Source organism: Homo sapiens, chromosome 15 (assembly GCF_000001405.40).
Source record: "Homo sapiens chromosome 15, GRCh38.p14 Primary Assembly".
NCBI lineage: Eukaryota > Metazoa > Chordata > Mammalia > Primates > Hominidae > Homo > Homo sapiens.
In genome coordinates this window covers 79044668-79058260 of record NC_000015.10, presented here as the reverse complement: position 1 = coordinate 79058260, position 13593 = coordinate 79044668, and the positions used below count along the sequence as shown (strand labels likewise).

General features: G+C 49.5%; 1 protein-coding gene across 7 annotated transcripts in view, besides 1 other annotated feature; it reads left to right on the top strand.

The window, feature by feature from the left end:
- Positions 1 to 13593, top strand: part of RASGRF1 (Ras protein specific guanine nucleotide releasing factor 1) — a 130875-nt gene that overhangs the window by 32520 nt on the left and 84762 nt on the right. For all 7 annotated transcript variants that reach the window (NM_001145648.3, XM_017022456.3, XM_017022455.3 and 4 more), the window contains exons 4-5: positions 8673 to 8765; positions 11262 to 11515. In NM_001145648.3, the coding sequence (NP_001139120.1) occupies positions 8673 to 8765; positions 11262 to 11515 (347 nt within the window). The remainder of the gene's footprint in view (positions 1 to 8672; positions 8766 to 11261; positions 11516 to 13593) is intronic.
- Positions 10929 to 11428: an enhancer, noted in NCBI's record as "H3K4me1 hESC enhancer chr15:79339175-79339674 (GRCh37/hg19 assembly coordinates)". NCBI's record gives its function as "activates a minimal SCP1, AML or CMV promoter by ChIP-STARR-seq in naive H9 embryonic stem cells {active_cell/tissue: H9 hESC(naive)}" and the evidence as "EXISTENCE:reporter gene assay evidence [ECO:0000049][PMID:30033119]".

Genomic DNA, 13593 nt, shown 5'->3' with positions numbered 1-13593 from the left:
GAGCCACATGACAGGCAGGGAAAGCAGCTCCCAGATGCAGTTCTTCCAGACTCCAAACTTAGGACGTGGTGGTACTGGCAGAATGAGAAGGTCCTGTGGTCAGACTGGGTTTAAATCTCACCTCTGTCACTTATTGACTGCAACCTGGAACAAGTCCCTCAATGTGCCTGTGCCTCAGTTTCTGCAGCTGTAAAACAGGGCTTTCTATAAACACCTGACCAGGTCGTGAGGATTGAGTGAGATTATCTACGGGCAAGCTCCTAGTTACTGTGTCAGCCACTGTATTGACTGAGCATTCTGCATTATTAGCCCAAGACTCTGGAGAGCGCAGGGTCACTGGTAGGTCATTAGAGTGTGGGCTTCTGCTCAACTCCAAGGCAGCCCCTTCCCTCCATCCATCTTGATGAAAGCTCCTGCAGCGGCCCACCAGCCAGCATTCTGGAGGCGGCATTGTTGCCAGACTAAGCCTCTTTGCACCTGGCTTCCCCAAGTGTGGTCCATGAAGCAGCAGCATTGGTTTCACCTGGAGCAGAATCTCAGGCCCCACCCCAGATCTTCTGAATTGGAATCTACAGTTTAACAGCCCAGGTGATTCCATTTACATTAAACCTTAGGAAGCACTAGCTCTTAGTCCCTTAGATGCCCCTCACCAGCTATCAACCCTGGCACAGAATGATCTGATCATCTCTTCCCCTTATCACCTCACCAGCATGCTCAGAACCATCTGGCCATATCATACAAGGACCACAGATTTTGCACTGAGGAGGGGAAAATGAAAACAAAGACTCCTGAAGTCAGCTGGGTATCTAATTTGCAGGGTCTGATGTGAGGTGAAAATGCAAGGCCCAGGCCAGGGAAGTCATTCTCCTGTCCCACAGCCTCCTGACTTGACTCATGGCAGACAGGCAGCACCCAACCTCAACCTGTAGCCTCCCCTGCCCTGACTGCCAGGAAGTGCGCAGTAGCTGGACTGGGGTGGGCAAGGAGCTCCTTCTGAGTCACCCACGTAATGCACCCTGGCACTGCCAGCCTGCAGCAGGGATGGCTGTCGCCTTGCCCTGCGACACCATGGGGCGCACACTGGACCCCAGCCTGCACCTATGCCCAGGCATCTGCTGAGGGTTGGGGGTGATGGTGGACTGTGAGTCTCCTCAGCTGACTCAACCGGTTGCTCCCTGAGCAGATGGTAGCAGAGGTCTTGGGGTCTGGGATGCCAGAGTGTGGGGAATAAGCAGCCAAGGACCCATCCAAGGAGCTGAAAAAGCGGTGGGAGGTAGGAACATGCATGAACCAAGGCTCCAAGAACCTGCAGTGTGCTCATGGTCCCATCAAATTCCACTCACTAAACACAATTCAAAGAGAAAACTATCTTAAGAATTTCAACAAAAGAGCTTAAAGTCCCGAATGCAGAGCCTTCTGAGCATAGGGCCCCATCACACCTGCGAATCCAGCTCTGCCTGGAATGTTCAAAGATCTAAAGCCAACAATTTCACCTTGTTCCGCAGCAGCCAAGCCCTGAACTAAGAGTAATATCAACTTGCAACCTCAAGGTCAACAAAAATTCCAGATTCTACACATCTCTGCTAGCCTGATAACAGGCACCTTCACGACATACTTTCATTCCCCACAACCATCCTGATAGGATCAGTCACCTGCATTTCACAGGAGAAACCAGACTCAGAGAGCCCAAGTCACTTGCCCAAGCTCACACAGCTGGGAAGTGGCAGAGCTGAGACTGGAACCCAGGTCTCCTGTCTGCTTGCCAGTCTTTCCACTCTACTCTGGTAGCCTCTTCCCACAGGGCTACCAGAGCTCAGTTCAGGGATGTCCCCACTCCGGCCCACCCAGTTCATTCTGGGATCAATCCTCGCCCAACACAGATTGCTAAATCTAAACTGAACTCCTGTATGGGATCAGGGAAGGAGTCCAGCCCCAGTACCAGATTATTAGCTTCATGATCAAGAGTGTCCAAGTGTCATTCATTCATTCACTTACTCACTCACTGAAGATCACCTACCACTGACCTCATCCTTTTCCCCAAGCACCACCTCTTCAGTCACTGTGGGCACCAGTGCACTATCCGCCTCCTGGCCTTTGCACATGCTGGTGCTTCTGTTTGGAATGCCCTTTTCATCCCCACGCATCCTACCTGGTGACATCCTACCAAGCTCAAACGCCTCACCCTGGGGGACCCCTGCCTCAGAGGGTGCTCCCTGCTGTCTGCTCCCATGGCTTTCCCACACTCAGCTCACCATGTGAGAGCAGGCTCCATGTGTGCCTGTCACCCCAACAGGCCTGGCAGGAACTCCATAAGGACGGGCTGTGTCGCTTATCACTCCTTCTTTTGGCCTGGCACACAGTAGGTACTCAGCAAGGGCTTGATGAGTGGACGGTTGTCAGGCTCGGTGGGAAGCATTAAAGAGATGACAGTTTCTGCCTTTGGGTCTGATTGTGGTAGAGTGTCTTCAGTGCCATAGTAGGGCTTGCGCTGTGAACCCAAGTCAGGAAATTGGTTGTTTGATAGCCTGGGAGGTGTGGGTTTATGTTGCACGTGGCCTTAAATGGTGTCAGGGCATTGTAGGTCAGAGAAGGGGTGTAGGTGCAAAGGGCAGAGCCCCCTGTGGTGTTGGGGAGCAGAAAGCAGGTCAGTCATGACTGAGTGAGAGAGTGTGTGTGTGTGTGTGTGTGTCTCAAAATGGCAGCAGAGACCCATTTGATGGGAATTTTCGGAGCAATGCTTCCAATTGAGTGTATTAGGGCAAGATATTTTTAAAGAAGACTTTGAAAGAAGGACCATCTTGGGAAAGCTTTCTGGCCATAGTGTCTCTCTTGGTCTCTCTCTGTCTCTCTCTCTCTCTGTTTCTCTCTCTGTCCCCCTGATATACACACACACATACACATATGCACAAACACGTCCTGCAGGTCAGAGGGTAGTTGCTGGCTCTGAGTGGGCTCTAGGAGAATGGAAACAGAGCTCATTCTTGAGGAGTGGCCACCAGGTGGGCAGGACACACTGAAAAGCCATGTGAGTGATGAGTGCCACCAGTGAGGAAGGCCCAGGGTCTTAGACTATTGGAGCCAGCAGGACTCTGAAGACACCAAGATCCATGGGGAGGAAGCGACTTACCCAAAGTCTCTCGCCTCCACCACTGGATCTCCTGGCTGAAATCCTTGGCCTGAGCCTGCCCCACCACAGCCTTCTCCTCCCTGCTGAGGAGAGGACCTTGATAACAGAGTACATATTCAGGAATGACAGTGTTGCCTGGATGGCCCTACACTCTCATAGTCCACCTCTCTTCTGATGGCCAAATAAGCTTCCTCAGGCCCCATCCCACATATTCCTGAGGATTCCCAGGGGTTTCCCTGGCCACCTCTTGCTTTCAAACTCCACTCTCCTGATCTATCACTGCACTTCTCATGGCTTCCTCCACTCAGTCTTCACTGCTGCTTTCCCCTTGTGTGGTCACTACCTGTATCTGTCAGAATAGGCTAGATTATGCTGCAGTAACACCCTCCAAATCTGAATGTCTTAAAACAACAGAGGTTGATTACTGACTCTGTGTGTCCATTGAGAGTTCTGCTGAAGACTCTGCTCCCCAAAATCCTCCAGTGATTGAGACACAAGCCAAGGAGGCTTCTGCCATCAAGAAATTCACCAGTCATATGGCTGGGCTGGGGAAAGGCACATGGCACACTGCTCACATCACATTGGACAAAGCAAGTCACGTGACTGTGCCCAACTTCAGAGGATCTGGGAAATACAATCCCACCATTTCCAAGAAGAGAGAGAACCAGAGTATCTGCAAAAGTCCCAACAACGACTCAGAGGAGGCTCCTCCTTCAGTCCCTACAACCCACGACACAGGCTGTTGTATGTAACAGAATGGAGGGGCACTCCACTATTAAAACAGAAAACAGCTCAAAAATGAATAGAAAACACCTCTGCCCTCATGTCACTCAGCCTTTCCTGCCACAACCATCCTTCACCAACCTCCCCTTTAAACACTGACTTCTCTCCTCACACTCCCACGTGCCACTTTTGTTGTTGTCCATAACCTCTTTCCCTACCAAGATCTTCCCCCTGCATCCAGTGATGTGCCAGAGCCTGCTTCTACCATTGGCCATTGGCCATCTGCACAACACTCTATCATGCCAGCTTGCAAGAGCCAACTGTTAGATTTTCAAGAATTTCGCTAGCTGGGTATTTGACCTTTGGTAGCTTGAAATGGGCTGAGCTAGAAATGGGCTGACATCATGGGAATTGGCAAATGCTACAAGTCAGTTTTCCTTTCAGAGAGCTTTACTGTTTATAATGTACCATCATATCATTGTCTGCAACTTTTTTCATGACCAGCTCTGTAATTTGCAGGGCTAAGCACAAAAGAAAATGTGAGGCCTTTAAAAACTTCGAGACAGCAACTGCAGAAGCTTAAACCAACCATTGGGCCCTTGTAAGCCTGGGGCTCTGTGCGAGTGCGCAGGCCACACATCCATGAAGCCAGCCCGTCTCTTCTCCCTCTGTGCCCTCCATCCTGTGGCACCCACCCCAGCCATCTCTGTTAACAGGAGATCATGCCGACACACGTGTAACTTTACTAAGTAAAACAATCAATCCACTGCTGACTTAGTCTCTTCTCTCCCTTCTAAACAATCCTATCAGGACTTCTCTTTCATTACCAGAAAGCCCCATGAAGGAACCATCTAAAACAAGGGAACATCTACCTATGAGAAGACTCCTCCCCTCCTCTAGAATGCTCAGTTTGGCATGATTTCATTTTCTTAATAGCTATTTCTCTCCCATTTGCAATTGGAAGTAAATTTGGAGAGCTAAGACAGGCCCTAAAGGGCAGCATAGGAGTTTGCAGGTGGCTGTAATATTTTATTGGAACGGGAACACACATATCCTAGAAGGCTGACAGTGGAGGGAACTGCAGAGATCTTTACCCTAAGGTTCAAAATGAAGACTTAGCCTTGGAATCAGTTTTGGGTTGGTTTTTCTTTTTTTTTCGATCTTGTCGCCCAGGCTGGAGCGCAATGGCACAATCTCGGCTCACTGCAACCTCTGCCTCCCAGGTTCAAGCAATTCTCCTGCCTCAGCCTCCCAACTAGCTGGTATTACAGGTGTGCGCCACCACACCCAGCTAATTTTTGTGTTATTAGTAAGATGGGGTTTCACCATGTTGGCCAGGCTGGTCTCAAACTCCAGACCTCAGGTGATCACCTGCCTCAGCCTCCCAAAGTCCTGGGATTACAAGTGTGAGCCATTGCAACTGGCCTAGAATCAGTTTTGCAAACACACTTTGATGTGGAACCCCAATATACAAAATAGATAGAAGACTGCTCTGGGGAAAGGAGGGGAGGGTGGCCTTGGTCCTTCCCCACCAGCACCCCCTCTCCATGGCCACCCTCCCTGCTGTGGCCCTGCTCCCCATCTCTCCTGCCATCCCCCATTCCCAAGACCTGCTGCCCTGGCACACAACACTCTATCACACCCATGCCTTTGTTCATATCATTCCTTCTATTTGAATTCCTTCCCCCACATATACCAACTGTTGGACTCCTGTTTGCCCTTCAAAACCTTTCCTGGGGAGCCTTGCCACTTCCTGGCCAAGGCTCTCCCATGGCAGTGGGTACACAGCTCTGTTCTGGCCTGGCCTTGTTGGATTGCAAGCCACCTCTATGAATGCCTGACCTCCTTCTTAGGCTGGGAGCTCCTCCAAGGAAGGGGCACTTGGCATGGTGCTCAACACAGACACCATCAGAGCATGCTGATAAGGTTGGCACAAAGGGAAACAGAGATGGGGGGCACCTGTTGGGCTTGGATGGGGGCAGAGGGAAGCAGGGAGGCAGGAGAGAGAGCTGAGCTGTGTGGCACCTGCTTGAAAAGCAAGCAATGCAGCAATCTTTAGTAAACCATTGGCTGCTAACAAAGAGAAAAAGATCTGGATTAATTCCATCACCCATTACTGCACTGACTAAACACATTCCAGGTTAAAGAAAGTGTCTCCAGAGAGGGGAGTAGGGTGGAGCAGGAGCCATTGCACCGTGCCCAAAGCAGGTGTAGCAAGTGACAGTTTGCCTCTAGGGGGCAAAGAAAGCCAGTCTGAGGGTGGTGGGTGGGCAGGAGCCAGCCAAGACACCAGGCATGGAGCCAGGTGTGGAGTCGGCCAGCCAGAGTCAGGGTGTGAGCCAGAGGTCCAGTTCCCCATGGCTGTAATTCACGAGGGTCAACTAAGTAGGGGCAGGATGTAACCAAACAAAGCAGGGTGCAAAGCAAAATCTACTTCCAGGAGGCACCTGCCAGTGTCAGGGAAAGGCTGCCTCCATGAGCCCTCCATGAGCCCTTTAGGCCTGGGGCTCCCACCACCATCCCGATATTGGCTCCTAGTTGCAATGGGCCAAGACTAGACATAGTTCAAGACTTTTGCAGTCCCCAGGCTTGCAACCCTCCAGAGCTTTGCCCACTTAGCTTGATCCTTAAATAAAGCCTCCAAAGTTTTTGTTGCCTGCGCATGTAGGATGGTGCCTGACCTAATTGCATCTATTTTCTGCCCTAGTCCCTGTTGAGTAGATGTCCCGGAATGCCTCTCTCTGAGAAGAGCACCATCAGTTTTAAACACAGACCACTTCCCCAAGCCCAGCACACATACACACACATATCACCATCCTAAAGTGAAAAGGGGTGCTATGTGCAAATCCCAAAACTGGCAAAGAAAGCATCCTGGCACAGAGGTGAGAAGAAGCCGAAGGTAAAAGTGTTGACTGAACAGGCTCCAAAGGCGGTGTGTGTGTGTGTACGCTTGCGTGTTCCTTAGCCCTTTAGAGTCCAGATCAAAGAATCAGTCATCATTTCAATGTGCAAATGTTCTCAAAGGATCGAAAAGGGGGAGGGGGTGGGGAGAAAAGCCCATCTCCACACTGACTATTTCTCAGTTAGATATTTTCAGCCACTCTTCAATCACAGGCTGCGGTAATTTTAGCAACCAGGGAGTGGAGAGCGGGTAACTGTTCCATTTTGCTTTCAAAGTGCTTGATTCACTCAATTATGAGCGCCCATTCATCCTGTGGTTCAGCAAGTGGCCTTGAGGGGACAAAAGCCATGTGTTCCCAAGAGAGAACAGCACTGGGCTTTGCGGCTTTGTTCGTAGAATCCCCTGAGCTACTATCTTTAGACATGTGGGGCTTCATTACTGCAGTGTTTTCCCTTGGTTAATGTTTTTGTTGCTGCTGTTGCTCTGATTTTTTTTAATTCACTTATTTGTGTAGACAACAAGAATGTGTTGAGTGCCCAACCTTGCGCTAGGCACCAGGAGCACAATAAATGAAACAGCTGCAATCCCTTCTCCCTTAGAGCTCACGGCAAAGATAGAAGAGTAGACAAGCAATTCCAGCATTTTCACAGGAAAGTCCATGGTGCTGTGGGAACCCTGCTACAGGACACAAAACAAGGACTCACAGAATTGGAGTGGTTGGACGAGCCCTGCGCAGGAGGATACACCACTGGCCTGTCTATGGGATGAGTCCCAGAGGCCCCTGGCCACAGTGCAGCTTAAGGTGTACCTTCTCCTAGGCACCATGCCTTGGTTTTGTTCTTGCAGCTATGTCGACATCTGTGATCCCCAAATTATGCAAATGGAGATGTTTAGAGCAGCTAGATATTTGAAGAGCTGCTCCACTTTTCTAGGCCAGCAGTTTCCAGGTTATGATTGAAATAGGCCTCTGATTCTAAGAGGTGCTTTGGGGCTGCCCAGGAAGGAAAGCGCCAAGCCAGCAGGACTTCACCCGGAGCCACCTGCTCTATCTGATTTATATCCAGATACAATTTTGTTTGAAAAATAAAGGGATTACCTAGATGCCCATCAAAGGGGGAATGGATAAATAAAATGTGGTCTACACACACAAGGGAATATTGCTTGGCCTTGAAAGGGAAGGAAATTGACCCACGCTGCAACATGGAAGAAACTTGAGGACATTATGCACCATGAAATAAGCCGGTCACAGAAAGACAAATAGTGCATGATTCCGCTTAGATGAGGTACCTAGAGGAGTCCAATTCAGAGGCATAGAAGGTGGAATGTGGTTGCCAGGGACTGGGAGGAAGGGGAATGGAGAGTTATTGTTTGATGAGTACAGAGTTTCAGTTTTACAAAATGAAGAGTTCTGGAGGTAAATGGTGGTGATGGTTGCACAACAATGTGAATGTCCTTAATGCCACTGAACCATACCCTTAAAAATTGTTAAAATGGTAAATTTTAATATGTTACATGTGTTTTATCACAGCAAAAATTATTTTTAAAAAAAGGGACCGGTTGTTTGGGGAGTAGGGAGGAGAACCACAGATTTAGGCCAAATTCTGAGATTACAAATGAGGTGGCTACAGCCCCGAGAGCAGAAGGGCTTCGTCCAAGGTCACTCTGGTTGGGCAGCCCAGCTGGCCTGGAACCCAGGTGTCTACCCATCCCCCGTGCAGCGCTTCTCACAGATGTCTGGGGCCTGTCTGGTTCCATGACCTGGATGCACAGAGTCAGAATCACAAGCTGTGGCATCATGGCTCTTGGGGAAGAAGAGGCAGGGCACTCGGCTGCCACCCTGTTCCTGCCACCCACCGGCCAAAGACCTGGGGCCTCTGTGAGCCAGCGCCCCTCACAGGCTGACCTGTGTTGCTGTTGCAGATCACATCCCTGCTCAAGGACAATGAGCGCATCCAGTCCACCCAGACTGTCGCCCCCAACGATGAAGACAGCGACATCAAGAAAATTAAGAAGGTCAGTGCTATCCCTCTGGGTGGCCTTCTTTGGAGCTCTCTCTTTAGAGAGCCAGCCCAGGGTTGGCAGTATCCACACCACAGCCCCACTGTCCTCAGAGCGTGCCCCCCATCCCCCAACCTCAGCTCCAAAGACAGAGCCCACACTCCCTTATCCCTGAAGGGTACCCTGTCAAGTCATTTCTTCTGGTTGTCCCTATGGGGCAGAGTGCTTCAGCCCATTTTATAGATAAGAAAACAGGTTCCACAAGAGGAAGGAGTGGGGAAAGCCAGGACAGAAACCCAGGCCTGGGACTCTCAGCTGACTGCTTTCCTCGCATTGCCATTCACCTTGCCAAGACCCCCAGGGCCACCTCTCCACTGCCACTCCCTGGCATGCCACCCCCACTGCCATGTACACGCCACCTCTCACAAGTACCTCCTGAGTCCCCAGCAGACCCAGCACGGTAGTCCAGCCTTTTTCAGACCTCACTGCTTTTACCCTATTAGAGTTCAGGAGGGACAGACATCTCAGAAGCTACCAAGGATCTGCCCAGTGGCCAGGTAGTGACATACCATGGGCCACCCTGTGGTGGTGTGGCAGAGGGAAGGAGCGTGGGCTGTGTTTGTAGCTTGCCAGACTCAAGACAGGGGAGCCTGACTCACCCTAAGAAAAACAGGTGAAACCACGGAATCCTATTTGTTGAGTGCATGAAAGGACCCCAACGCCATCCCTAGAAACTGCAAACTGGCATCCCATGGGCCAAGTTCAGCGTACCAGTGTGTTTGAGATTTTGAGATTTTCATCCCACACAGTGGGCTTTTTTTGGTTTACATTTTTAAAAATTTGTTGCCAGTGCTTTAAAAGCTAAACACATCACACAAAAATCTGGATTTCTGGTTTCTCAAGAATAGAAATAGCTAACATTAATTAACTACTTTTTATGTGCCAGACATTATTTTAAGAGCTTTATGCAGATTAATTCTATCCTCACTAAAATCCTCTGAGGTTTATTTATTATTTTCATTTTACATATGGGGAAGCTGAGACACAGAGAGGCAAAGGAACTTGCCCAAGGTCACACAGCTAAGTATTTACAGAGTAACATTCAAACCCTGGCGGCCAAGCTCCAGAGGCTATGCTGCCGGGACACAACATCTCCTTAAAAAGCAGAAGGCCCAGCAGCCCCAGGCCACCTCCTGCACATAACAGCAGCCAGCCCAGGCAAGAGGTGCCACCTTATGACATCCCCCACCCCCAGCTAGCCTCACGCACCTCTAGGAACTGCCAGGGCCCCACAGGCATTGGGACTTGCCACCCAGGTCTGAGTCAAGTCCCACCTGGGCAGAGACGCCCTGACCGGTGTTCTCTACTACAGCCCCAGTGAGCTTCCCAGCTCACCCCTGTATTTGGAGCATTCTGGTTGGAACATTTTGTTAAAGGCTAGCTGAAATCCACCTCCCATCGCTCTATTTTCACCCTCCTGGAGCCTCAGAGTAAGCCCCTCCCTCTTTGAGAAAGCCCTTCCTATCTTCAGAGATAGCTCTTGGGCCTCGGGCAGGCCTCTTCTGTCTACGGCACCCATCTCTAGCCAGCAGGTCTGCCCCTGGACAACTGTACCTGCTGTTTGGAGACAGCGGTCCTTTCAGTGAAGAATACTGTATGAGCACCTCTGCCTGATCCCAGTACCCTTCCTCCCAGTGTGGACCGTGAGCTTGCACACAGCTCAGAGGCCCCTTGATTGGAAGCCTGTACAGCTTAAAACAACTCTGTGTGTGTGTGTCAATCAAGGCCCTTTCCCAAGTTCTTGCCAACATGAGGCCACTCCAAGCAGCCCAGCTCCAAGGCAACTGAGTTAAGTGTCTCTGTTCATTTCCCTACTGAGTCAGGAGGAGAGGCTCCAGGCAGGCACTAGGACTCAGAAGCCGCTGATGAGGGCTAAGTATGAGATTAACTAATTTTCCATGTTCCGTTCAATTTGATAATCACCCTTCTATCCAAAAGAGCTTTAATTTAAACTTCTGGGCTCTCAGGCAAGTCATTAGACAAGACAAGGCATGAGCTGTGCCCAGCAAGGCCCTGCAACCCTTTATCCTCGGGCGACCTCCCATTATGGAGACATAGAGCCACATTTTTCCTCCTCCAGCGAATGCTTCCAAAGCAACCCAGGGGTCTTGTTAAACTGCAGAGGTCTGGGGTGGGGCTTGAGAATCTGCATTTCCAATAAGCTCTTCAGAGATGCCGATCCAATTTGTGGACCACACTTTCAGTCTAGCCATCATCTCTTTAGCCCCATTTTACAGATGGGAAAACTGACTCAGGGCAACCAAACAACTTGCCCTGTATCATGTGGGCAACAGAGCTATGCCTGGTCTACATCTGAGCTCTTTTTGCTACATGCCCGGCGTAGGAATAACAAAGCCTTGGTTCCTACCCTTGGGGAGCTCACAGCCTGGAAGGACAGGAGTGGTCCAGACTCCCTGACAGGAGCCTCTCCCCACCGGTCTTGCTGCTCAGGTGCAGAGCTTCCTGCGGGGCTGGCTGTGCCGGCGGAAGTGGAAGACCATCATCCAGGACTACATCCGGTCACCCCATGCTGACAGCATGCGCAAGAGGAACCAGGTGGTGTTCAGCATGCTGGAGGCTGAGGCTGAGTACGTGCAGCAGCTGCACATCCTTGTCAACAATTTCCTGCGCCCGCTGCGGATGGCCGCCAGCTCCAAGAAGCCTCCCATCACACACGACGACGTCAGCAGCATCTTCCTGAACAGGTGAGCACCCCTAAAGGTTGGCCAAGGCAGGAAGGAGACTAGTGAGCATTGGCCGCAGCTAAGCTTTGACACACTCTCTCACGTGGTTCCCACCGAGTGCAGATGAGGCCCAGAGAGGACAGAAGTGCCCAAGATCACGTGGCTAGAAACCACCAACCCCAATAATTGTGGGGTCTGGGGCAGGGGCACAAATGTAGGCTCACAAAGTATAGGTCCAAACCAGTGGGCCTCAACTGGGGCAGTTTTGCTCCGTGGGGAACACTTAGGAATGTTTGGAAACATTGTTGATTGTCACCACTTGAGGGAGGTTGCTGTTGGCATCTAATGGGTAGAGGCCAGAGGTGCTGCTAAATATCCTACAATATGCAGGACAGTTCCCCATCAACAAAGAATTATTCCAACTACAATGTCAGTAGTGCCACGGTTAAGGAACCCTGGTTTAAATGTTTAAGAGTTATAAATCAAGCTACAAAACGTAAACTAAAGTACCTTATTCTTTGACCTTGATACCATCATAATGACCTGGAGGCCAGGTTGAAACTTAGAATTCTCAGGTGCCTTAGAGTTCTGCTGTGGACCACGCTACCCACATGTCTTACAAAGAAGTCACTTCTCCCAGATGGTGACCCTGGCATTAATATGGGGCTTGTGGTTCTTCAGAAGGCTGTGCTGACGGCTGCTCTTCTGCTGTCAACTTCTTTTTAAAAGGAAATGGTTTAAATGAGCTTTCTGGTTGGTGATAAAATTGTATAAACTAGATAAAAGCAACAAAACAGCATGCTATTTACAATGGAATGTCATCTAAGAATTCAAGTAAATCATTATGTTCCCCTATCATTCAACTACATTTCTTTTCAAATATTCAGCATTCAGTCCTTTCACTAATCTCAACCAGCCTTTTCTCCAAGCCCTCTGCATGAATATTTGGGACCCAGGGCCACCTTCCCTGTGTCCTTCTCTTCCCCCTTTCCCTAACAGTGTGATGTGCTGAGTTTGAGGGGACTGTGGAACACCCCAGCGTGGGGATGTATGAGGTTGTGAGTCAGACATGAGTCTGAGGCTCAGGTGAGAGATTGGGCTGAAGAAACTGAAAGTCACTGGGGTGGGACAGGTTGACACCATAGATGTGGGCAAGCCATCAGAATATGGGGGACAGAGAGAGAAGGAAAGAGAGAGAAGCAGGCAGGAGGAGGAAAATAGCTTTTGGCCTCATGAGACCTTTCGAGACCAAATCACAGGGCCCCACAAGGCTGCTTTTTAATAGACATGTTGATCACAGTTCTTAGACATTCAATAAATGCTTTTATGCATTGACTAAAACAACAACAAAAAAGAGAATTAGGTGTGTGTGAAATCAGGTAACATTTAACCCAGAAAGTGGGTTGTTTAGATTCAGTGACCTGGAATTTGAATGAAAAATGTGAAGAACGTGTTCCTTGCTGAGCAAACCCTGGATAGCTCAGCTGACTTCACATATTCTCAAACACAAGCCCATCTGTAGGTCTGGGTGGAGCCCAGGGGACTGCATTTCCAACAAGCTTGCAGGTGCTGCTGATGCTACTGGTCCCAGATGGCACCAAAATGGGAGGCTTGAGATAAACAGAGGTGGCTGTCTGTGTTTATCTCCACCATGACTCCTTATTTGAGGTTTACTTCAGGAGGCAGTAGTGTAGTTCTATGTTGTTTGTGCTTTTTTTGCATTTTAGGCCACCATTGCAAACTTTTGGTGACCATTTATCATCATCACTAAGAGGTGTCCTTTTGTGTTTGTTACCTTTTCGTAATTTTATTATACTTCATTGATTCATCTGAAATAGAATTCTTTTGACCTGGAATCTTTGGTAGAGAATATTCATGCCAGCTCACAGCATTTGTTCAAAAGTTGTTCAGAAAAAAAAATCACAACATGGTTTTATATTTTTATCTTCAAAGAACTGAATGGATCAGGTCAGATACCTTTAATGGAGAACAAATGAGAAAGAGGAAAGGGGGATTTTGCCTTCTCATGAAGCTGATATTTTCAACAATGACCTCAAAAAGAAACACGATAGACCTCAAGATAGACCCAGGAATCCTTC